We start from the raw sequence: 24,673 nt of genomic DNA on the forward strand, positions 1-24,673 counted from the left end.
TCACCATCTTACCCAGGATGGTCTCCATCTCCTGACCTCGTGATCCGCCCACCTCAGCCTCCCAAAGTGCAGGGATTACAGGCATGAGCCACCGCACCCGGCCAACCATCTATTTTTTCAATATTATTTTCCACATTGTTTGAATGTCTGTAATGTGTGTGAGACCCAGCTGAATTTAAAATGTGGTTCTACCATTTACTATAATCCCAGGTAAACAATCTTTCATTTGCTCATTTATTTCAGCAAAAAATGATAAAAATTCTTCATCATTTAGGGGTAAAAATATTTAGCATAGTTCATGGTACAAGTTAATACTCAAAAGAGAATTACTCATTATATCAGGAAATGTAAAAGCGAAGAAAAGAAAACTAGGCCAAAGTAAAATATTAAGAGGTGCAGAGACTTTAATATCAGCCAGATGTTAACCCTTGCCCTCTGTCCTTCTGAGACCCGTGTAAGTATTAGCTGGAATCTAAACCCCATAGGTTTGTGGGAATCCGGAGAACTCTCCATGATTTCTTCAAGTCACCAGGGCTTCCTTCTTCGTGGTCCTCTCCACTTCTAAATACTCACGTTTTGCTCCCATGACTCATAGCACAAAACTCGATTCTTTCACTAGTTTCAGCAACGACAGCAACAACAAATCCACTTAATGTAAATAATTCGCTAGTTTCATAACTTGACTAAAGACAAAACAAATAGATTAATTCTTTATTTACTGGACCTCCTGAGAAATAACTGAGCACAGCCTCGAAAATAGAACGTAAATTTCATTAGCCCGGTTTCTAAAACACGTGCAGTGTGGAAGGAGTAGAGGAAGTGAAACAAGCTGTTGCTCTCCTCCTATCTTTCTCCAAATTTTACCTCAGGACCCTGATGGCAGGAAGAAAAGGACACTATGTGACTTCAGTGCCTAACAACACAGTCCTGGAAGTTTACGCTGTTGATACTATAGCAAACATTGTAATCATTTTGTGAGGGATTGGATTCTTCCCTTTATACTGTAGCATAAACATTGATATATCAATGTGTTTAGCCATTTAGAAATTATAAAGAAGGGGAGTGTAACTGACATTTCATTGAACATACCTTTCATATATTACAAAATTGGTCTATTAATGCTGAAATAAATGTTCACATTTGGCCACTCTTTATCACCATCACTGTAGTGAAACAGGTATTCTTTACTCAATAGATTACGATACACATAAGTAAACAAATAAAATCTAAAGAAAAGATTTCCTACATTTATATTTTATGCCATACATATAAACATGTGAAATTCAAAATTCAAAACGGAGGAAAACAGGATGGTTAATCATGATACATTTCTGGTTATACTGTAATTATTTGGGGGAACTTCACAGTACTGGTGTACACTTTCCTAACTTCTAGGGTAACTTCAAATTTTTATCCTGCCCATTCCCAAAATATATGTGTATTTTTATGCTTATCCAATCCATAGTGCCAACTAATAACAACCGTTATGGGCTGAATTATAGGCCCCCAAATTTCATACATTAAGTGCCTAACTCCCAGTACCTGAGAATGTAACAGATTTGGAGATAAGGTATTTGTTTTTTTTAAAAAAGAAGTGATTGAGGTAAGAAAAGGTCTTTAGGGTGCACCTTAATCCAATATGACTGATGTCCCTATAAGAAGAAATAAGTTAGACACAGACTTGAGTGTGTACAGAAGGCCACATGAACACAGAGTGAGAAGACAGCCATCTGCAAGCCAAAGAGAAGGGCCTTAAAAGAAACCAACCCTACTAACACCTTGATCCTGGACTTAACGGCCCCCAGAGCTGTCTTTGAGCCACCCATTCAGTGGCATTTATTACAGCAGACTTAGCAAATTAATACACCAATGTTAACTCCTGTCTCATTTTTTGATGGGCCTGTATATAATATGTAATGCCACATTAAGCTGTTAATATTTTCTTTCAAGAAAATATAATATTATGTTTTATAGTCAGAAAGTTTAATCTGTCTTTTTTTTTTACATTTTTCAAAGATAAAATATAATATTGGGTATATTATCCCTCTCAAATCATTGTGCATTTTCACCCCAAATTGAATGTAAATACAATAATCATAAGAGAATTTTCTCAACTTTAGAAAGTTCCGCTACTAACTTTATTATATTATATACAACATGTAATATCTGGCATGGAGTGCTACAGAACCAGTATCTATTACAAAGTGGGCAGTCAATAAATGGTAGCTAGTGGTCACCTTTAGTTCACCAAAGAATACTGAGAACTCAATATCCTTTATATGACCTTCTCCACCCTGACGTTGGAGAAATTTGTAAGTGTTTTAAGAACAAAATAGATTCTAAGTGTATGATGAGTTTTTTCAAGCTATGGAATATAAAGAAGTTCTTGAATTTTAAACAAAGGTAAACTGAGGCAAACACGTTCTCTTCTTAACTTACTCTTGTGCATGTCAGGCCACTGGTGGGTGCGGAAAGTGTAGGCTTCAGTACACTCTCTAATGCTCTCCCATCAATGAAAGGCCAAAGGAACAACAACAAAAAAAACAAAAACAAAAGGCAAGGTCCCAGGTCCAAAGAGGAAAGGATCAAACTGCTTAGACTTGCATCCAGTTCAGGATAAAGGGAACACTTGTGACTCACATGTGGTATATACCAATTCCATATATATACATAAATATTGATATGTGATGCCAAACCCTCACTAAAAACCGTAACTTTGTCTAAATATTCTCTTTGGCATCTATTTTTTGAGGGTCTTTTGGGGGGATGATGTGGAGGAATCTATGGAGGAAGCCAGTTATAGACTCAGAATCTTTACCACGCTTTACACATTTAATAGTAAATACATGTTAGTAAGGCTTACCAATTGCTGAATGTAGCTCCATCTGCCCACATCCACGTTTTGTTTGCATTGTGCTTGCTCAGTTCAAACCAATATAAAGACGGCCCCAGATAATGCATCAAAGATTCCCTTTACAAAATACAGAGTGCTGTCATAGATTTCTTCTAGTTTTCTCATTCTCACTCCCTCCAGTGCCCTTTAAGTCTATTATTATCTTGCACAGTTACTGCAAAGGCCGTATAACATGATTCCCTCCGTTTACATTTGAGACTCAGTAGCCAACCTCATCACAGCAAAGATTATGATTCTTTTAAAACTTAAGTCAGATCCTATTACATTTTCCCTCATAATTTGGCAGTATCTCCCTATTTTGCTTGGAGCAAAAACTAAACTCTTTACAATAGCCTGCAAGACCCTAATGATCCGCATTCTTCACTCAATCCCTCATTTTAGATAGATTGACTGGCTGCTTCTTTTCTGTTCCTTGAATATTCCAGACATTCACTGGCCTTAAGACACACGCTCCAGCCATTTTCCTTTCCTGGAAAGTTCACTTCTAGATAGTCCCTTACCTGCTTCACATCCTTCCTAAAATGTCACCATCTTATTGGGATATAACCTTACCTGCAGTAAACCCACTCCCTTAATTTTCATTTTTTTGCATAAAACTTTCCAACTTCTAACACAATATATAAATTACATATTTAATAAGATAATTTTTCATTGCTTATCTCTTCCCCTAGCATGTAAACTCCACAAGGGCAAAGATCTTTGATTCTTTGGTTTGCTAATGTATTACACCCTAGGAGTGTGCCTGTCTTTTAGTAGCTATTAAATGAGTTTAATATTGCAAAGAAGAAATCTAACCATTTCATTCTGAGAGTTGAGCCTGGCCAGAGATCCATAACTTCTGCAGTTTTCTCAGCCATTGATCCACGTTGTTTCATGTTCAGATTGAAAGAAGCAATTATTATTGATTCAGTTCCAGCCTTGTGGACACATAGTCAAATTTTCTAGGCATGTCTTGTTTCTAAGGTGCCTTGGAATTCCAACTGAAATTAACAGGTAATAGAGAAAAAGAATAAAGAAAGTATCAAAGAAAGAAAGAGTGAGCTTCAGAGTAAAATATTATTATATAGCTCAGACTAATAAAATGTGTTTTACTTACATATTCAATTTGAATGACTTAACTTTAAACATCAATTCAAAAAAATTGAATATCGAGAAGAGAACATGAAAGGAATAAGCACTGGAGAATGAGAGCTATGAAAAATTTAAAAACTCAATAACAAACTTCCAGAAATTCAGTATCTTCCAGCCATTTTCCCTCCTAATTTTTAGACTACATGAATTTTCTTTATTCATCTATTTCTTTCCTAAAATTTACTATGCTCTCTAGAACAAGTTGCAGTGTAAATAAACAAATTTTTCTATATTCATAACTTCAGTGAGCTGGTTCCTATCATCAACTTAACTGAGACTATATTGTCTTTCAAAGACAGCATTTCTCTAGAAGGTGGCGCTGTTTCCTTGTCCGTTATGAAACAAGAAACACAGAAAAAAGAATGCTAAAATTTCCCTTTTTACTCTCCACTTTTACTCCTTAAGTTACTGCACTAGATAAAGGAAGTTCCTTGTTAAGGTATAATCCTGAAAGAAACAAGCTCTGAGAGCACCTCCTATCCACAACTAAAATAAATGACTGGTTCATCTTCAAATCTGTGAGTGGGAAAATCCTCAATGGGAAGGATCAACTGGCAATATGGTTCTATATAGTTGAGACCTGAGAGTGAAGTGAAAAAATCAAGTTATCAAAGTTATTTGAATGTGTCATGTTCAAAATTATTTTAAAATGTCAAATTCAAATCAATAACCAATATAAAAACCAAATACTTAATTCAAAACTTGGGTCACCAGAAAGGCAGTTTTCTCATTCATTTACTAATTAATTCATTCTTTCATTTACGCAGTCAACAACTACCGATTGAGCACCTGCTACACGCCAGACATTTTTGTAACTCTATGAATAGCCTACATAACATACAGAAATACCTACTCTTATGGGACTTATGCGTCTGAAATTATATAGTTTGTCGTAAAATAGATCAGAGTGAAGGAGAATCAGGGAATCACGGTTGTTGGTAAAATGAGTAGAAAGCAAACCACAAGAATATGGCGTCATGTAAGTCAAATGAAATTTTTTTTTTTTTTTAGAAAAAGGGAGTGCCAAAAGCTGCAAATAGGTTATATAATAAGGTGAGGAGGGAGAATGGACCAGTCGATTTAGCAATATGGAAGTTATTGGTGAACTTGAAAGACAAGTTTGGTGGAAAAAGCAGAGTGGAAGCTTGATCCAAGTGGATTTAACAGAAAAAGGAAAGATAAAAAATTATTTTGAAAAGCCGTTTTAAAGAGGTTGCTGTACCAAGGAGAAAAACAATAAATTGGTTGCTAAAAGATAAGTGGGGTCTAATAAATTCTGTTGTTTTTGTTGTTTATTTTTTCAAGGTTGATATAGATACCAGTATGTCATATTTGCTGATGGAGATGTTTCAGTTGAGGATGAAAAAAGGATAATGTAGGAGAGTGGAGAATTACTAGGGTGATATTACTGATCCAGTGAAAGAATATAGGATCTATTGTAGAACATGAATACTGCATCTACAGTTCCAGGAGTCTAGGCAGAGTGTAGGGGCAGAGATGGAGTAAGTAAGCTGGTGTGGTGATGGGAGCATTTGGAAGTTTCCTACAAATTGTTAAAATTAGAACAAGTTGGAAGCAAGGGTATAGACATGAGAATGAGCATGAGGAGAATGGAGATGAAGGACAAGGTATAAATTGCTAATGAATGGCAGTGAAAGAGTTAATGCACTAGGGAACTATAATACAATTGCCAGTCCCTCACCCTACTTCTTTGTAACTCCATCATAATTATACCTGGTGTGATTCTCTGACATGTGTGTTCTAAGATGATCTTTGATAAACGCCTACTTGAGTTTAAGATTCAGCACAAATATTTCTCCCTTCATTAAAGCCTTGACTACAAGCAGCTAACTTATAATCTCCTCTCCTGCTTCAAATTCAACATAGTTCTATTTAGTAATTATTTCTTTTGTGTTACAGTTGTTTGCTTACATGCTTCCATATTCAGTTAAAGATAAACTACTTTCAGGCAAGAAATACCATTTTTTTTCATTGTTATATCATCAGCAGGCAGCACTGTGCCTAAAGCTTGATACATATTTATTGAAAGACTGATTATTCTAGAAGGTGAAGCAGGTGACTAAGTTTGAAGAGCAATTAGATGCACTGTCTTGGAAAATGCTTTTATCTCTAAATTGTTCTATATTAAGGAAGGAAAGACTAGTTATTGGTATCCAACTGAATCAATAATACAATAATTTTAACAATTTAATTTAATAATTTTAGCAGAAATTGTTTACTTACATTTTCTGGGAAATCTTAAAATCCCCCAAAGAAGAAAAGCAATGCCTCCACATATAAAAATTGAGATGATCATTATTTTCCTTTCTATTATACCAAAGAGAAACAGATGTCATTGTTTATGTTCCAGAGAGAAAAAAAGCAAGCAAACCAACAAAAAACCCATCATGTTTATCTCTTTTCTCTATCTTCCGCGTGTTCTACTGTTCACAATTCAGCAATTAATGTATTAGAAAAATAAGAAAGGGAACTAAGACCTAACGTTTGAACATCAGGAGCCTCGAAGGTGCTTTGGCTCCACTTTCCTGTGCTATTTGGCAGAACTGTGTTACTAATTCTTCTGCCCTGCTTCCAGAACAGAAAACCAACAGTTTCCTCGCAGCGTCTTTTAATAAAATACTGCCTTTTCCAAGGGAAAATTCCAAGTATTTTTAATGAAATACTGTCTTTTCCAATATGATGGAGGAGGCTGGAATCGCCAATTATCATTATTATTGAAGTCTTTGTTTTATTAATGAAAACTGCTTTTACTTAAGATCTATATTATGGTCGCTATCCCCTACCCTGCCCTTCCCTCCCAATGCTAAAAGGGTGCAAGCTAGGATCAAGAAAAGATGCTAGAATAATCACACAACCTCACCCACCTGGCGTGTTGGTCTGCTGCTCCACAACCTCCGTCCCATCCTTACTCTCCATCCCTTCTCCCTCCATCTCCAACCCTCACGAGGAAGGCTCATCCTTCTGTGTGTGATCACAGAGGCTGGAATAATCCTGCGGGTGAATTGCAAATTGCTAAGTATATTTGGTGAGTGCAAACCGCAGGAAACTGACGACCCGGTTTTTCTGAGGGGTGGTGCGGCAGCAAGACAGTAGGAGAAACAGCACAGCAACCTAGCATCCTCCACTCAGCCGCGCAGGTGGACTTGGGCCAGATGGCCCCCAGGGGCGTGTCATGTGCCTTCTCTGACGTTTGTACGAGGCAGGGGCAGCAACGGCAGCCGGGCATGCACCAACGGTGCCTCTGCCCCGGCAGCGATGACTCTACAGCCCATGATTTCCGCAGCCCACGATTGGCTGGGGCACAGCGATAAGAATTCAACCTAATGGGCACCTCACCTCCCACCTGCTTGGTACGCAGAGCAGAGAATGGGGAGTCCCATACCCTCCCTTTCCGGCTTCTTTATATTGTCTCCCTAAAAATCTCCGATTGGACACAGGTATATAACATAAATTGCCTGCACTGGAAAGTGTACACATTCTCTCACGCCACAAAGTGGATCTGCCCCCATTTTCTTGTTTTTAATAACTTTTTTCTGTTCTACATTTTTAACCACTGTGTTCTAAGTGTACCTGTGGAGTGTTTAGTAAAATGTGGGAAAACAAAGCCATTGTTTTTACATGTTTTCATAGGAACTAATGAAAGCTTGTTTCATATACAGGCAGTTTTTATTTTGCACTGTAGTGTGTGATAATAAAAATTACTGCACAAGCTGATATCACACCAAGCTATTTTAATAATAGGGAAAAGTATGATTTTTCCTTTATCCTCTTTTCCTGATTGAAAATTACTTTACTGTCACTCATAAACGTATAGGGAAATGTAAACAACAATAAAATTAATATTTTTAAAGTATGCTATAATTAAAACATTAAAAACACTGAGTTTCAAGTGTTTTGCTTAAAAGAAAATGAGTAGTGTGAATTGAGTACGTGCTGTTGTTGTTCTATCGCTTACAATATGGAGCCAGCATCTTTTAGATGCCTTCTCAAGCTTTTTTATTCCTAAATTTGGATAGACTTCCAATATACTATTCTTTGCACTTGAAATGTTAGGAAACACATTGAGAGTTCATTTGATGTGAACACTTTAGCTCGTATAACTTCCTCTGGGACCTCTTCATTCTTTTCATCACAACCACTTACCTTATTTTTGTCAATAAGTGTGCCTTTACTAAATTCCTCTGGTTGCATTATCTAGAGACTCTTCAAAAGGTGAATTATTAATAACCCTATCAACAGCTATTGCTTCTCTAACTTCATTTCTCTTCTATTTTATTTCCCCTTTCAGCGCCATCATTTTTTGCTGCACTTTGTGTCACTAACCAATTTCCTGTTTCAATTACCTTCCTCTTCTTGTCTTCCTGTTTCAAATTTCCTTTGGAATTTGTCATACAGTGACAAACCCATGTGACATTTACAAAATAATACAGAATAACTCTCCATCTTATTCTGTATTAACTGATAAAAGATGCATGGTGACCAATCAATCATTGACAGACTTGGAAAAAAGTGACATGGTTGGTCGTTAATCACAATACAAACATGTATATAGTGATTCGTGAACTGAAAAACTAGCATGGAAGTTTCTACTTTATACAATTACTTACAGTAAATATAATACAAATACAGATAAGTACGCTGAAAGAATTAAACTGTGCTGTTGGGGAGTTATTTAATTAAACTGTGAGAAGTGAAGTTTATGCATATTAGAACCACGCAAAGTAAAGTTTATACACACACCCTACTCCCCACAGACATTCTCTTTAAAATATACATATACGGCCGGGCACTGTGGCTCACGCCTGTAATCCCAGCACATTGGGAGGCTGAGGCAGGCAGAGCATCTGAAGTCAAGGAGTTTGAAACCAGTTTGGCCAACATGGTGAAACCCCGTCTCTACTAAAAATACAAAAATTAGCCTGGTGTGGTGGCAGACGCCTGTAATCCCAGCTACTCAGGAGGCTGAGGCAGGAGAATCGCTTGAACCCAGGAGGCGGAGGTTGTAGTGAGCCGGCGTCCCGCCATTGCACTCCAGCCTGGAGATATATATATATATATAAATTTTCATATATATATATAAATTTTCATATATATACACACACAAATACATATACAAACACATACATATGCATGTATAAGCATATATTGTATGTGTATAGACCTTATTCTATACATAAGAATTATTTATACTTATTTATGTAATGTATTCTTGTGACTTCAGTAATTAATTAGCACAGATTTCAAAGCTATAAATGGTAGAAATGTGGTATCTCACAGTTCTGGAGGCCAGAAGTCTGGAATAAAGAGGCTCTGAGGAAGAACCTGCTTCACACCTCTCTTCCAGCTTCTGGTGGCTGCTGGCAATCCTTAGTGATCCTTACCATGAAGTTGCACCATGCCAGTCTCTGCCTCTATCTTCTTAATGAGTGGAAAATAGTTCCTAGAATTCAACTAGAAGATTTCTCTCATTTTTCATTTACCTTGACAGACCATATATTCCTTCTTAAGATGATAACTTTCAAGAGGAATAGAAACAGTATGACTGGCTTAGATTAAATTCAACCAAATCATTAGAGATAAGATCAACCTCTCCCTCATAGAAGCAAGTATATATATGGGGGCGGGGGGATTGTTTTCTTCTTACAATACTCTTAATATTTCACCTCCTACACCAGATGTGTAGGGAGGGGGTTTCTCCTCAAATCAATAAATTATCTAGGGCAGGGGGCCCCAACCCTCGGGCCATGGGCCAGTACCGGTGCATGGCCTTTCAGGAACGGTCCATGGCCTTTCAGGAACAGTCCATGGCCTGTTAGGAATGGGGTTGCACAGCAGGAGGTGAGCAGCAGGCAAGAGAGAGCAGCTTCATCTGTATTTACAGCTGCTTCCCATCACTTGCATTACTGCCTGAGCTCCACCTCCTGTCAGATCAGCTGCTCATTAGATTCTCATAGGAGTGCAAACCCTACTGTGAACTGTGAATGCAAGGGATCTAAGTTGCATGCTCCTTAGGAGAATCTAATGCCTGATGATCTGTCACTGTCTCCCATCATCCCCAGATGAGACCGTCTAGTTGCACGAAAACAAGCTCAGCGTTCCCACTGATTCTACATTATGGTGAGTTGTGTAAGTATTTTATTATATATTACAATGTAATAATACTAGAAATAAAGTGAACAAAAAATGTAATGCACTTGAATCATCTTGAAACCATCTTCCCCCACCCCAGGGTCTGTAGAAAAATTATCTTCCCTGAAATCGGTCCCTGGTGCCCTATTGGGGCAGCAGTTGGGGACTGCTGCTCTAGGGGACACCCACTGTATGTCCTATAATTCAATTCAATTCTGACAGTATCCACCTGGAGTTAGCATCAAATTCCACAGATCAAGGGCTCACTCCATCAAGACTGCCCTCCACTTCAGATGCCAGTGTCAAGTCTGGGCCTCTGGAACTGCTGACCAACCAGCTACAGATTGAGGGTTCCCTCGACCCCTCATCACACTTGATTAATTTGATAGAGAGGCTCAGAGAACTTGGAGAAACACTCAATGTTTACCAGTTTATGATATTAATAAAGGGTACACATGAACATCCAGATAAAAAGATAGTTGGGGGAGGTCTGAGAGGGTCCAGAGTGCAGGAGCTTCTGTCCCTATAAAGTTGGGGTGCATCATCCTCGTGGCACATAAGTGTGTTTGTCCACCTGGGAGTTCTTGTAACCCTGTATTTTTGGGACTTTTATGGAGGTTTCATCATGTAGACATGATTGATTACTCTTTTTCCAGCCCCTTTCCCATCTGTGACTAATGTGGGGTAGGAGTGAAATGTCTAAGCTTCTAACCATGTCTTGGTCTTTCTGGCAACCAGCCTTCATTTAAGAGCCTACCAAGAGTCACCTCATTAGAACCAGAGATATTCCTATTGCCCAGAACATTCCAAGGGATTTAGGAGCTCTGTGTCAGATGCTCCTATCACTCTGGCAATTACAAAGGTGTTAGGCACTCTGTGTTAGGAACCAAGGTTAAAAACCAAATAATAAAAGATGTCCCTAAGCACCCCTACTGTTCAGGAAATTCCATTTTTAGAAGCTCTGCACAGGAACTAGGGACAGATATATAGATATAGATTATATAGATATAGACAATTTCATACACACTCGCTCTCCACTGACAAAATTAGGATTCTACCTGAAATATAGAAGAAGAGAATGGATTTGGATACATAACCAAAAACAGTCTTATTGCCAAAATATATATATTTTTTGAGATGGATTCTCACTCTGTTGCCTGGGCTGGAGTACAGTGGTGTGATCTCTGCTCACTGCAACCTCGGCCTCATGGATTCAAGCGATTCTCCTGCCTCAGCCTCCTGAGTAGCTGGGATAACAGGCGCCCACCACTACGCCCAGCTAATTTCTTGTGTTTTTAGTAAAGATGGGGTTTCACCATGTTGTCCAGGCTGGTCTCGAACCCCTGACCTCATGATCCACCAGCCTCAGCATCCCAAAGTGCTGGGATTACAGGTGTGAGCCACCGTGCCTGGCCACCAAAATATTTTTTTAAGAGAGTGAGTGTGTGTGTGTGTGTGTGTGTGTGTGTGTGGAGGTTGTTTACTCATTGCAAGATATAAAAAAAGGAAGTGGTACCAATACCACCCATATAGGCAAAATGGACTACATTAAAATTTAAAACTTCTGTGCATCGAAGAGCATAATCCACAGAGTGAAATGACAACCTACAAAGTGGGAGAAAATGTTTGGAAATCACATATCTCATAAGGAATTAGAATCCACAATATATCACAAATTCCTATAGGGCAGCAGAAAACAAACAAATGAAAGAACAAATAACTTGATTTAAAACTGGTCAAATGACTTGAATAGATACTTCTTCATAAAACATAAACAAATGTCCAGCAAACATATGAAAAGACATTCAATATCACTAATCATTTGAGAAATTAAAATCAAAACTATATTAAGAGATCACCTCACATCCATTAAGATGGCTCCTGTGGAAAAAAAAAAACCCAGAAAATAACAAATACTATAGGGATATGGATAAATTGCAACCCTAGTGAAATTTTCATGGCAATGTAAAATAATGCAACCACTACAGACAACAATATGGTGGTTCCCCCCGCCAAATTAAACATTAAATTATAACCTGGCACTTTTGCTTCTGGATATATAGCCAAAATAATTAAAGCAGGTTATCTCCAAGAGATTTATACAGCCATATTCATAGCAGCGTTATTCACAAGTCAACAGGTTAAAGCAACCCTGGTGTCCATCGATGGGTGGACTAAAAAAATGTGGTATATACATACAATGGAATATTATTCAGCTTTAAAAAGGAAGGACATTCTGACACAAGCTACAACATAAATAAACATTGAAGGCTTTATGCTATGCGGAATAAGCCAGTCGCAAAAGGACAAGTACTGTATGATTTCACTTACATGAGTTACTTAGAAGACTTAAGCTGATAGAAACAGAAAGTAGAATGGTGGTGGCTAAGTGATGGGGGAAAGAGGAAATGGGGAGTCATTGTTTGACAGATACAGAGTTTTAGCTTTGCAAGATGAAAATAGTTCTGGAGATTGATTGCAAAACAATGTAATGTACTTACTACTGAAATTTACACTTAAAAATGGTTAAGATGAAAAATTTTGTTATGTGTATTTTACCATAATTTTTAAAAAGTAGTTTCCCAGAGGACTGCCAGACACTGAAATCCTAATGGTGAGAATCTGTAGAATCCCAAAAGTTGAGGAGAAATCAGACAGGAGATAAGTTTCAGTCATATGATGTGACTTCTGAAAAACCCCCAACAGCACTTGGTAAGAGAAAGAACCATTAACAGCAGATATCTGTGCTTCTATTTCTCTTTCCCATGAAATGTTTAAGAAACAGCAGCCAATGAATAGAGGATTTGATGATGCTAGGGAAAAAAAGAGGCAGCAAAACCGCCTGCCTCCTCTTCTGCAGGCTTCCAAGTAGAGTTTAAATTGAAGTTTGGAGTTTCAATACTGTGCTAGACTGGACCTATTAATTTCTGACATGAGACTGCTCTTTTTACTTCAAGGAACCATAAAAGCCTTGGGATTGACTCCAGCCTACCCAGATGTAGGGATTTCTAAGTCTCAGAGAGAGCTTAGTGGAAAAGTAAAGTTAATTCTGTGTGTACATACAAAAGTGCGTTTCTTTCCAACCACAAGATTCACCTGTTTCTCTGTTCTCTGATCCCTGTGTATGCATTCTTCCCATTTTCATGAGTGCATCTGAGGGCTGTGGGTTAGTGATTTTCCTTGACCATAAATCCAGTAATTTTGTTTCCTGTTGAGTGGAAGGAAAGAAAGGCAGAACCTTAAGAAATATTTCATTCATACAAAATTACTTTTTAAATAAATATACAATGTTTTCTGGAACCTCGTGATTGTGTTGGATTTTTTTTTCCTATTTATTTCATTAACCATTTCATAAGGAAAGGTTTCCTCTGACTCTTTAGAATGGACAGCTTCTTTTAAACCTTTAAATCATTGCATCTGCCTGTAATTATTTCCATTTTTCTAGCATTGGATTTTGAGATGAGTTACTTCAGAATGAGTATTTAAATGTTTTAGACAAAAGTAGATAAAAAAATCTGTATCATTGTCACATTTTTTGAGATTTAGAAGCCAACTTGAGTTGCAGTAACCAAAAATGTGGTCTGGCAAAGCCCACAGTCCCTGGTGGGTTACGATCTGAAGATGGTCTGAAGCTGAGTTGGTTGTCTGGCAGCATTCCCTTGACTGGCCTCACTTCCAGGCACTCCTGCACAGAGCTGTGGGGTGTTCATTCCCCATCAAATCTCCTGTTGCCCTGAAAAATTTAAAGAGGCAGAGAAAGTGACAACTAGACCTAGCATTTTGGTGTATAAGTGCATATATTTCAGTTTTTTTGTTATTGTTGTTACGGCAGTCTGAATTTAGAACTTTGTGCTAACAACAGGTTACAGCAACCCTAGAGTCCATCAATGGGTGGAATAAAAATATGTCATATATACATACAATGGAATATTATTCAGCCTTAAAAAGGAAGGACATTCTGACACAAGCTACAACATAAATAACCATCGAAGGCATTATGAAGCTTCTTTTACTAGCAAAGTTACTTTCCAGAAACCTTAGTAGCTGCGATCTTGCTTCAGTCCATAAGCTTTCTGTGACTTGACTTAGAGTAGCAGGCAATTAGTCCATAAAAGAAACATAATGAATATCCTGATGCCTCTCAACCATCTGGAAAATATTAACCGGGCACCGAAATACTTGATAAATGCTGTGAAAAACATGGGATTGGGTGGTGAATAGGTTGACTGACAAGGTATGTAGAAGAGTGGGGAGAGTGTACTTTAGGGTGGGTGGTGAGACTAAGTCACTCTTCTCATTAAAAGAATGTGTGCTGCCTGTACAAATTTGTCTTCATCTTTTTCAGCCAATCCACTCCAATGGGCTTATGGATATGCTGGCCATATTAACAAATTAAGACACAAGATTTCCAGTTAAATTTGAATTTCAATCGACCACAGATAATTGCAGAGACAGCAAATACAAATATTGATGAGCAATACTTACATTAAAAATAAGTCATTTTTACCTGAAATTCAAATTCTGTTTTCCCACACATAGCTACATTATTTCCTGCACGTAGCTACATCCCTCCTCTGCTATGTAAACCCCCAATTTCAGTCACTTGGGGAGATGAATTTGAGACTGATCTGCAGTTCTTCTCAGCTGCAGCAACTGAATAAAGTCATCTCCCCTGGAAATACTTGCCTCAGTGATTGGCATTCTGTGCAATGAGTAACGGGACCTAGGCTGAACCTCTGGCATTTCAGTAACAGATTTTGGTTCCCTCATCAGGAAGACATTGCTCTTGGCTTGGCTGTCACCAGTTGGGAGAATTTCCGCAACCCTAAGCAGCAGCCTATGTGTTTTAGGCAGGATGTGGGTTTTAGTCTTTCTATTTAGCATTGCTGCTGCCAGCCCCAACCACATTTCTGATTGCCTAGGAAGAACAGCCTTTCAAATTTGACTTCTGCATGTGGATAGGTGAGTGTCTTTTGTGGATACCGACAGTGGGAATGGCTCCTCTCAATTTGAGAAATTCTGAAGGAATTTCCATTGGCAAGTTCAGCAAGGCCAACTGACGGAGAGAGGAAGCACCCTGACTGTTCCAGTTCAGACACTCTTGGGGCTTGTTAGTAATTGAGTATGTGTCTGGATAAGTGAGTGTCATTTGTGGGTCCAGACAGCAGGATCTGCTTTTCTCAATTTGAGAAATTCCGAAGGAATCTCCATTTGCAGATTGAACTAGCCCAACAAACAGGGAGAAAGCAACTCAACTGTTTCAGTTTGGACTCTCTTGGGACTTGCTTATTGTTGCAGCAGTTAGATTGTATTCTGGTGGTTGTTTGTGTGTTGATGTAGTTGTGGGAGATCAGGGTTTGATCTGAGTGCAGACCGCTTGGGTGTATTCTTCAGGGTTGGTCTGCATGTGGCTGTGGGCCAGTGGAGTGAGGGAACATCTCTACCCGTATCACGCTGAACATGCCCAATCTCATCTGATCTCAGACAGTCTTTGAATTGTAGCACTGCCTTATATTTGGATTTATTTTGCTGTTGAATGTGAATATGGGATGGAAGTCCATGTCTCCAGGCTTCTATGCTGCTGCTCTAAGGACAGGCAGGCCTGATTAGTATGTGCTGCTGTTTGGCTACAGAGTTCTTTGGAGTCTGGAGAGATTTGGCCTTTAAAAATCAAACTGTCAGACCCTGTCTCAAGGAAAAAAAAAAAAACAGGATGTGAGCGCTCTCCCTCTCCCTCTCCCTCTCCCTCTCCGTCTCCCTCTCCCTCTCCCTCTCCGTCTCCCTCTCCCTCTCCCTCTCCGTCTCCCTCTCCCTCTCCCCACGGTCTCCCTCTCATGTGGAGCCGAAGCTGGACTGTACTGCTGCCATCTCGGCTCACTGCAACCTCCCTGCCTGATTCTCCTGCCTCAGCCTGCCGAGTGCCTGCGATTGCAGGCACGCACCACCACGCCTGACTGGTTTTGGTGGAGACGGGGTTTCGCTGTGTTGGCCGGGCCGGTCTCCAGCCCCTAACCGCGAGTGATCCGCCAGCCTTGGCCTCCCGAGGTGCCGGGATTGCAGACGGAGTCTCGTTCACTCAGTGCTCAATGGTGCCCAGGCTGGAGTGCAGTGGCGTGATCTCGGCTCACTACAACCTACACCTCCCAGCAACCTGCCTTGGCCTCCCAAAGTGCCGAGATTGCAGCCTCTGCCCGGCCGCCACCCCGTCTGGGAAGTGAGGAGTGTCTCCGCCTGGCCACCCATCGTCTGGGATGTGAGGAGCCCCTCTGCCTGGCTGCCCAGTCTGGAAAGTGAGGAGCGTCTCCGCCCGGCCGCCATCCCATCTAGGAAGTGAGGAGCGCCTCTTCCCAGCCGCCATCACATCTAGGAAGTGAGGAGCGTCTCTGCCCGGCCGCCCATCGTCTGAGATGTGGGGAGCGCCTCTGCCCCGCCGCCCCATCTGGGATGTGAGGAGCGCCTCTGCCCGGCCGAGACCCCGTCTGGGAGGTGAGGAGCGTCTCTGCCCGGCCGCCCCGTCTGAGAAGTGAGGAGACCCTCTGCCTGGCAACCACCCCGTCTGAGAAGTGAGGAGCCCCTCCGCCCGGCAGCCGCCCCGTCTGAGAAGTGAGGAGCCTCTCCGCCCGGCAGCCACCCCATCTGGGAAGTGAGGAGCGTCTCCGCCCAGCAGCCACCCCGTCCGGGAGGGAGGTGGGGGGGGTTAGCCCTCCGCCCGGCCAGCCGCCCCATCCGGGAGGGAGGTGGGGGGTCAGCCCCCCGCCTGGCCAGCCATGCCGTCCGGGAGGGAGGTGGGGGGGTCAGCCCCCTGCCCGGCCAGCCGCCCCGTCCAGGAGGTGAGGGGCGCCTCTGCCCGCCCCCCCCTACTGGGAAGTGAGGAGCCCCTCAGCCCGGCCAGCCACCCCGTCTGGGACGGAGATGGGGGGTCAGCCCCCCCGCCCAGCCAGCTGCCCCGTCCGGGAGGGAGGTGGGGGGGTCAGCCCCCCGCCTGGCCAGCCGCCCCGTCCGGGAGGGAGGTGGGGGGGTCAGCCCCCCGCCTGGCCAGCCGCCCCGTCCGGGAGGGAGGTGGGGGGGGTCAGCCCCCCCGCCCAGCCAGCCGCCCCGTCCGGGAGGTGAGGGGCGCCTCTGCCCGGCCGCCCCCTACTGGGAAGTGAGGAGCCCCTCTGCCTGGCCAGCCGCCCCGTCCGGGAGGGAGGTGGGGGGGTCAGCCCCCTGCCCGGCCAGCCGCCCCGTCCGGGAGGTGAGGGGCGCCTCTGCCCGGCCGCCCCTACTGGGAAGTGAGGAGCCCCTCTGCCCGGCCACCACCCCGTCTGGGAGGTGTGCCCAGCAGCTCATTGAGAACGGGCCAGGATGACAATGGCGGCTTTGTGGAATAGAAAGGCGGGAAAGGTGGGGAAAAGATTGAGAAATGGGATGGTTGCCGTGTCTGTGTAGAAAGAAGTAGACATGGGAGACTTTTCATTTTGTTCTGCACTAAGAAAGATTCTTCTGCCTTGGGATCCTGTTGATCTGTGACCTTACCCCCAACCCTGTGCTCTCTGAAACATGTGCTGTGTCCACTCAGGGTTAAATGGATTAAGGGCGGTGCAAGATGTGCTTTGTTAAACAGATGCTTGAAGGCAGCATGCTCGTTAAGAGTCATCACCAATCCCTAATCTCAAGTAATCAGGGACACAAACACTGCGGAAGGCCGCAGGGTCCTCTGCCTAGGAAAACCAGAGACCTTTGTTCACTTGTTTATCTGCTGACCTTCCCTCCACTATTGTCCCATGACCCTGCCAAATCCCCTCTGTGAGAAACACCCAAGAATTATCAATAAAAAAAAAAAAAAAAAAAAAAAAAAAATCAAACTGTCAGCTGGGCGCAAGAAACTGAGGTGGGCAGATACTTGAGCCCAGGAGTTCGAGACCAGCCTGGGCAACATGGTGAAACCCTGTCTCTACAAAAAATACAAATATTAGCTGGGTGTAATGGTGCATACCTGTAGTCCCAGCTACTCAGGAGGCTGAGGTGGGAGGATTACCTGAGCCTGGGAGGTTGAGGCTGCAGTGAGCCTTGATCACACCACTGCACTTCCAGCCTGGGTGACGGAGATCCTGTCTCAAAAAAAAAAATAATCAAACTATCATGGAAACTGCTTTATTCAAAATTTTGTTTCACAACCTTTATTGGATTACCTATCAGAACAAATAAAGTTCAACCATGTGAACATGTTCATAAACCAGTGAGTTTGCATTGCTATCTCATGGCTGGAATTTAAAGGTAAAAGCTATTGGATCTTTGTGTGTATGTAGGTATATGTGTCTAGATGTTACGTGTTGTTTTTAGAGGGTAGCAAATTGGCTTATAAATTAAAAAGCGTTCATAAATTAAGTAAATGAGTCTAAGCATTTTTCAAGTTTACATGACTTAAGTAAATCTTTAATAAACAAGAGAGCTTTTAGATCATTTGTAAAATAAAAATAGAAATGCCTTTGGAATTGTCAGCATACTTTTTTTGTTTGGGTTTTACATTTGTCTCTGCTAGATATTTAAAGGTGTCAGGGTTTGACAAAGAGATTATAAGACTATAAACCCAGCCAAGAACAAAATTATCTTTGTGTGATTTTTTGATAAATAAGACTAATTTAATGTCGTTAGGTTAATAAAAATAGCTGAAACTTTTGCATTATTGGTGCAAGTATCCATGTATTTTACTTTATGTTTCTTTTTTTTAAAAACGGAGTCTCACTCTGTCGCCCAGGCTGGAGTGCAGTGGCCCGATCTCGGCTCACTGCAAGCTCTGCCTCCCGGGTTCACGCCATTCTCCTGCCTCAGCCTCCTGAGTAGCTGGGACCACAGGCGCCCGCCACCACGCCCGGCTAATTTTTTGTATTTTTTAGTAGAGAAGAGGTTTCACCATGTTAGCCAGGATGGTCTTGATCTCCTGACCTCATGATCCTCCTGCCTCAGCCTCCCAAAGTGCTGGGATTACAGGTGTAAGCAATCATGCCCAGCCAACTTTATGTTTCTTACTTAGGTGAACATCTAATATATACAAGTTATAAAAATGGTTAACAAGGAAATAATGAATAGCTTTGATATCTCTTTTCTCATAAGTAATATAGATAATTGCTAAAAAAGTGAATGAAATATAAATGGCATAAATGCTCTAAGTGAACTTTTTGTGTAATTTAATATCTTGAAGTTATTTTGGATGCTCATGAGATGTGTGGGTCATTTCCAATTATGAAAGGGTTTCAATACAGAAAGTTAAATGATGTAAAAACCTTAATTCCTTTAAATCTCAGTTTTCCTAAGCAATCAAAAACCCAATAACAATGACATAGAAATTATTTTGATAAAATGTAAAATTTGTTTCTCAGGTCAGTTACCAAAAGGCAAAGAAAAACCTCCTGCAGTGTGATTGCTTCTCCTATCAGAGTCCCATCTCGAAAACCTGAAAATCAAACCTGATAAATGATGTAGACATATCAAGAAAAGCCAAGAGGACAGAATCAAGCTATACTGGAGGAAAACGTTGCTTCTCTAGAATTTTAAAATAAATATTTCAGCATCAGACCATGACAGCAGTTAAGGCAAGAGGGAAAAAAAAGATACAAGAACTGACAAAGTTGAAGGAGATAGTTTCATTTCAGGTTCCTTCAAGGGGAGACAAGCTGACAGCAACAAAACACAAGAAAGCTGCACTTTGGAGATATAGATCTGAGAAGTATTCAAAAAGTAACAGATTATAGAGTCAAAATCAAAACCTCTCATCCAATCAATATTTTAAGAAAACCTTGTTCTAACCCAGGGGACTAATCTATATCTCTCTCCCCTAGTTACTGGATCCTTTCTACCCTGTTTCATAAACAACCTAAGTCTATAATTTGAATTAACCTTTAGATAACTTCTGAGTTAAACAAAATTATTTCTTTAATCAATAAGAACACATCTTCTTTGGCACATTGTACATGGAATCATACAATTTGCTGGAATTCTTATTCTTAGTAATCCTAAATTTTAATGGAAACCTAGGAAGCAAGAAATCCTGGGCTGTCTATCAGATATTAACATTTTATAGATGAGAAACATGAATGTTCTCAGGCCCAGAAAACTCAAGTTGTTTTGGGACCTCAAGAAAAGAGGAATTCACCCAATTCATACAGGTATCTGCAAGCACAGATCAATTATTGGTTGTGCTCGAGAGGCCTTTAAAAATCAAATCTGAGATTCCTTATGAAAAGTTCCAGCAAAGCCAATTTAAAAAAGCCTATATGAACAATAATTCTTGCTTCAGTTTATGCAAATAATCAGGCAAACTATAATAAGATTAAAACAGATTTTGCAAATAAATTGGTCCTACTGTGATTTGCCTTTCATGGAAATGGGGAGCTGGAGAGAGAAACATTATGTTTTGGAAGAAAACTGCAGTACACCTGTTATTAGATTAATCTTTGACCTATGGCAACCTGGTCATCCATGGTATGGAGATACATCTGTGCTGTGCTGCATTCAGTTATTAAAAGTATAAGTTACCAGTGGAATTTAGATATGGATTCATCACCTCAGAAGTTGGTTCACTGGATGCATAAGGAAATAAAAACTAATTTTTAAAAAAGCAAAATTTTCAATCCCTTGGTTTTTGTTATCGATATAAACCAAAATGTATCTGAGGTAGGTCTCAATTAATTTCAAAGTTTATTTTGCCAAGGGTAGGGATATGTGCCTGAAACACAAGTCTGTGCCTTTCTCCAAAGATGCTTTTGAGGGCTTCAATATTTAAAGGGGAAAGGGCAGATATTGGGGAAAGAGGAAGAAATTTTAAAAAGGTGTGGGTAGGGCGGTGGCTCATGCCTGTAATCCCAGTAATTTGGGAGGCCAAGGTGGGCAGATCACCTGAGGTCAGGAGTTTGAGACTAGCCTGACCAACATGGACAAACCCCATCTCTACTAAAAATACAAAAATTAGCTGGGTGTGGTGGTGCACGGCTGTAATCCCAGCTACTCAGGAGGCTGAGGCAGGAGAATCACTTGAACTCGGGAGACAGAGGTTGCAGTGAGCCAAAATCGTGCCACTGCATTCCAGCCTGGGTGATGACAGAGTGAGACTTCATCTCAAAAAAAAAAAAAACAAAAAAACAAAAAAAAGGTGTGGGTAGATAAGAGACAAATGGTTGTATTCTTTTGAGATTTTGATCAGACTTTCACTAAATACACAATTACATGTGAGAGTGGGGTAAAGAAATAGTCACTTATGCCTCAGTCTAGATCAGTGAATCTGCATTTTTATACAAACGAAAGGGCAGAGGAAGCAATCAGATATGCATTTGTTTCAGATGAGCAGAGGGTTGACTTCAAGTTCTATCCTTTGTCCCATACCTGTGAAGATAAGCTATCAATTTACATTGCCAGGGTGAAATTCAATCGAATAAAATGGGAGCCAGGTTTGCCTGACACAATTCCCAGCTTGACTTCTCTCTTTGGCTTAGTGATTTGGGGACCCCAAGATTTATTTTCCTTTCACATCTGTAATAGCTAAAATTAAAGTAGGAGAATATTGGGTCAGGCTTTGAGGCCAAACCAAGCCTAGATGTGGGTCTGTCTGAACTCAGATCACTAGCCTCAAGGCTGCTCATGAAGAAGAAAATTATGCCAGGAAACCAGAAAGTACCTCTGAGATCTGTGGTTTCCTGGAAGGTAGTCAATGTGGGGAAGGAGTGAATTAAAGTGACTTCTGAAACTAGAGGGTATAATGTGAAGGAATTGTTCTATTTTGCAAATCAGTATCATTAGCTTCCTGAACCTTTACTAAAATAAATTGTGAGAGTAATTACTTTAGGCACAATGTCTTTGGTTTTAAATGCTGCAGAGTGGAAGATCCGGTTGATACAGAACCCACGGCTCACAATTGAACAGTTGCAGATGGGTACATATAATCCGGGCACACAGGAGGTTATTCCCAAAAGAACAGCCTACTTGGTGGACTGGATAAAACACTGTGAGAACTATTTACTCTGAGAAGGAGAATTGTCCCACTCCACCTATAAATGCCAAGTGGAGCACTCCAGATGAAGCAACAGATATGCTTCAAATGTAAGCCACGGGGGACTGGCTTTATAATGATGTGGCAGGCCAGGTCACTAATGCAGGCCTCCATAACAACTGTTTCAGTACTGACTGAGTGGTTAAGTTAAATGTTAAAAGGTAAAAAAGCCAGTGGCCTTATACAAACTCTGGATTGTAACAAAAGCCCACCACGAGTTTTGCCTAGGACTTTCCTGGGGCTTGGACCCATGACAAGATAATGAAGGAATTCTTAACAGGACCAGATTAGGATTAAACAAGTTTTACCGGCAGTCTGAAGAAACTTCCCAGGCTTCCACAGACAAGTTTATTGGAGATCTCAAGGAAGTTCCCAAACCTCCATGATTTAGCAGGAGACAAGATAGGGTAATCACCCCAGCACCTGGACCCATATAGATTAAGTAAATTTACTAAGCCTCCAGAGGAAGGTCTTCAGAACTCAGATCTCAGTTATAGATTACAAGAAGTTAATCACTCATGTTTTTAGATGAATGCACTTACACACAGACATATAACTTAGAAGGTAATAAGCTCTGGAAGACTTTGTAATTTTGAGTTGGTCTGGCAATATTTTCCAGGCCTTCTCCCTATAACTTGTTAAAGAAATAAAAACTCTTCCTCCCCAGTTCATCTGCATCTTGTTACTGGGCTGGAAGAAATAGCAGTCTGACCCTCAGTTTGGTCCAGGAACAATGATAGAAATATTAACTTGGCTGGGCGTGGTGGCTCACTCCTGTGATCCCTGCACTTTGGGAGGCTGAGGCGGGTGGATCACATGAGGTCAGGAGTTTGAGACCAGCCTGGCCAACATGATGAAACCCCATGTCTACTAAAAATACAAAAAATTAGCTGGGCGTGGTGGCGGGCACCTGTAACCCCAGCTACTCTGGAGGCTGAGGCAGGAGAATCTCTTGAACCAGTGAGGCGGAGGTTGCAGTGAGTAGAGATTGTGCCACTGCACTCCAGCCTGGGAGAGAAGAGCGAAACTCTGTCTCAAAAAAAAAAAAAAAGAAGAAAGAAATATTAACCTTACTTTTTGGTTTTTGGCTCTTTCGTTGCTTTGAGTTTTAATGGTAATGAGTCCCTGGCACCTCTATTCTTGTGTGGCCTAGAATGTTTAATTGACTATAAGTCTTTTTTGACTCTAAGTCCCTTGGTTACAGGGGTCCCACTGACGAACAGGATGGACTCGGGGCAGGTAGTCATACCACCTTGGAAATGATATGGAACAAAATAAAGTTTGGCAATCAATGCTCCCTCTGGCATATTCCAAGGAGACCTCAGTTTCCAAGAGATAAATCTTACCTGGGAAAAGGTCTTGCCCCTTGCCCTGCTGAGGGTACTGGTAGCTCCCAGAAATGGATTAGCTCTTAGCCCCTTTCAAAATGTTTACTTGGAGACTGTTTTCCTGGACTCTCTGATGCTTGAGGATTTTTTCCTCCCCTGAAACAGAAGCTATGTCATACATGAAACAATTAGGGAATATATTAACTAGTCTCTCCAACAGACTTCATTTCTGTATGGACTTGCCTCTTCCCTGTTTGAAACCAGGGAATCGAATCATACTGAAGACCTGGAAATCCCATCAGGCTGAAGACTAGCTGCAACCACAATAGGTCAGTCTTTTTAAGGTGCTGCTGACCACCCACTCGTCTATCAAGTTAGCCAGTGTTAAACCATGAATTCAACATACTCAGTAAAACTAGTCACTGTGGGATCCCTCCAGGGGAAACAGTCATGCTCTTGTGAACCTATACATGGCCTTAAGTTAATATTGAAAGCCCAGCCAAAGATCCTAGATAAGAAACTGTAAAAGGAATATGCATTTTTCAGTTATTATTCTCTTTAAACCCACAGCTTTTCACATATAAGATATAATGAATCAGGAATACTTTTTGGTAGGCTTAGGATTGTTCTCTTGGATTCCCCAAGGGATCCACTCCAAATTCTCTGGTATTTTAAAATTGGTTTATCTATATTATTTATCATCCTTGTTCAATGTGGCCTAAAACGTTGTTCTAAAACTGAAATAAAAGTACCCAGATCATAGTGCTCCAATGACTACTTCTGATTATAGTGCCACATTTCCATTCCTTATCATTATTCCACCTCACACGTCCTCAGCATGAAGCAGCCAGAAGGATCAATGACCAGATTCTCCATGATTGAGGAAGTGATAAATAGAAAAGAGAGACTGAAACCGGCCCCGTTATCTTATAGAACTAATATTTACAGTTGTTTTTGTTTGTTTTGCTTTGGAACATAGAAATGGACCCTGTCTGGTCTTAAAACTTGAAACTTGTTTGTTTTCCTGAGTTTCTTGCTTAGAAAACCGACTTTCAGGCAAGGAACTGAAACTCATCAGAGCACCACACCCAGGCAATGAGACTGCAGATCCTTCACCCAGCATGATTT

The 24,673-nt window shown here is 41.0% G+C and overlaps 1 protein-coding gene and 3 long non-coding RNA genes across 8 annotated transcripts in view; 2 read left to right on the forward strand and 2 right to left on the reverse strand.

Moving 5' to 3' along the window:
• Positions 1-379: 379 nt before the first annotated feature.
• LINC02470 (long intergenic non-protein coding RNA 2470) lies at positions 380-7,296 on the reverse strand. Its single transcript, NR_104634.2, has 5 exons — positions 6,931-7,296; positions 6,290-6,373; positions 3,710-3,894; positions 2,864-2,971; positions 380-615 (listed from the first exon to the last, which is right to left on the reverse strand). It is a non-coding gene; the product is annotated as a long intergenic non-protein coding RNA 2470 (long non-coding RNA).
• CLEC12A-AS1 (CLEC12A antisense RNA 1) lies at positions 11,938-17,138 on the reverse strand. Its single transcript, NR_135047.1, has 3 exons — positions 16,351-17,138; positions 14,703-15,880; positions 11,938-13,928 (listed from the first exon to the last, which is right to left on the reverse strand). It is a non-coding gene; the product is annotated as a CLEC12A antisense RNA 1 (long non-coding RNA).
• CLEC12A (C-type lectin domain family 12 member A) overlaps positions 15,069-24,673 on the forward strand; it is a 54,883-nt gene continuing 45,278 nt past the window's right edge. For all 5 annotated transcript variants that reach the window (XM_047428399.1, XM_047428400.1, NM_001207010.2 and 2 more), the window contains exon 1: positions 15,069-15,157. In XM_047428399.1, coding sequence (XP_047284355.1) covers positions 15,148-15,157 — 10 coding nt within the window. In that variant the 5' untranslated portion in view covers positions 15,069-15,147. The remainder of the gene's footprint in view (positions 15,158-24,673) is intronic.
• LOC124902874 (uncharacterized) lies at positions 15,458-20,798 on the forward strand. The gene is made up of 2 exons (XR_007063207.1): positions 15,458-16,838; positions 19,555-20,798. It is a non-coding gene; the product is annotated as an uncharacterized LOC124902874 (long non-coding RNA).

This window comes from Homo sapiens, chromosome 12 (assembly GCF_000001405.40).
Source record: "Homo sapiens chromosome 12, GRCh38.p14 Primary Assembly".
In the NCBI taxonomy this organism is placed as follows: domain Eukaryota; kingdom Metazoa; phylum Chordata; class Mammalia; order Primates; family Hominidae; genus Homo; species Homo sapiens.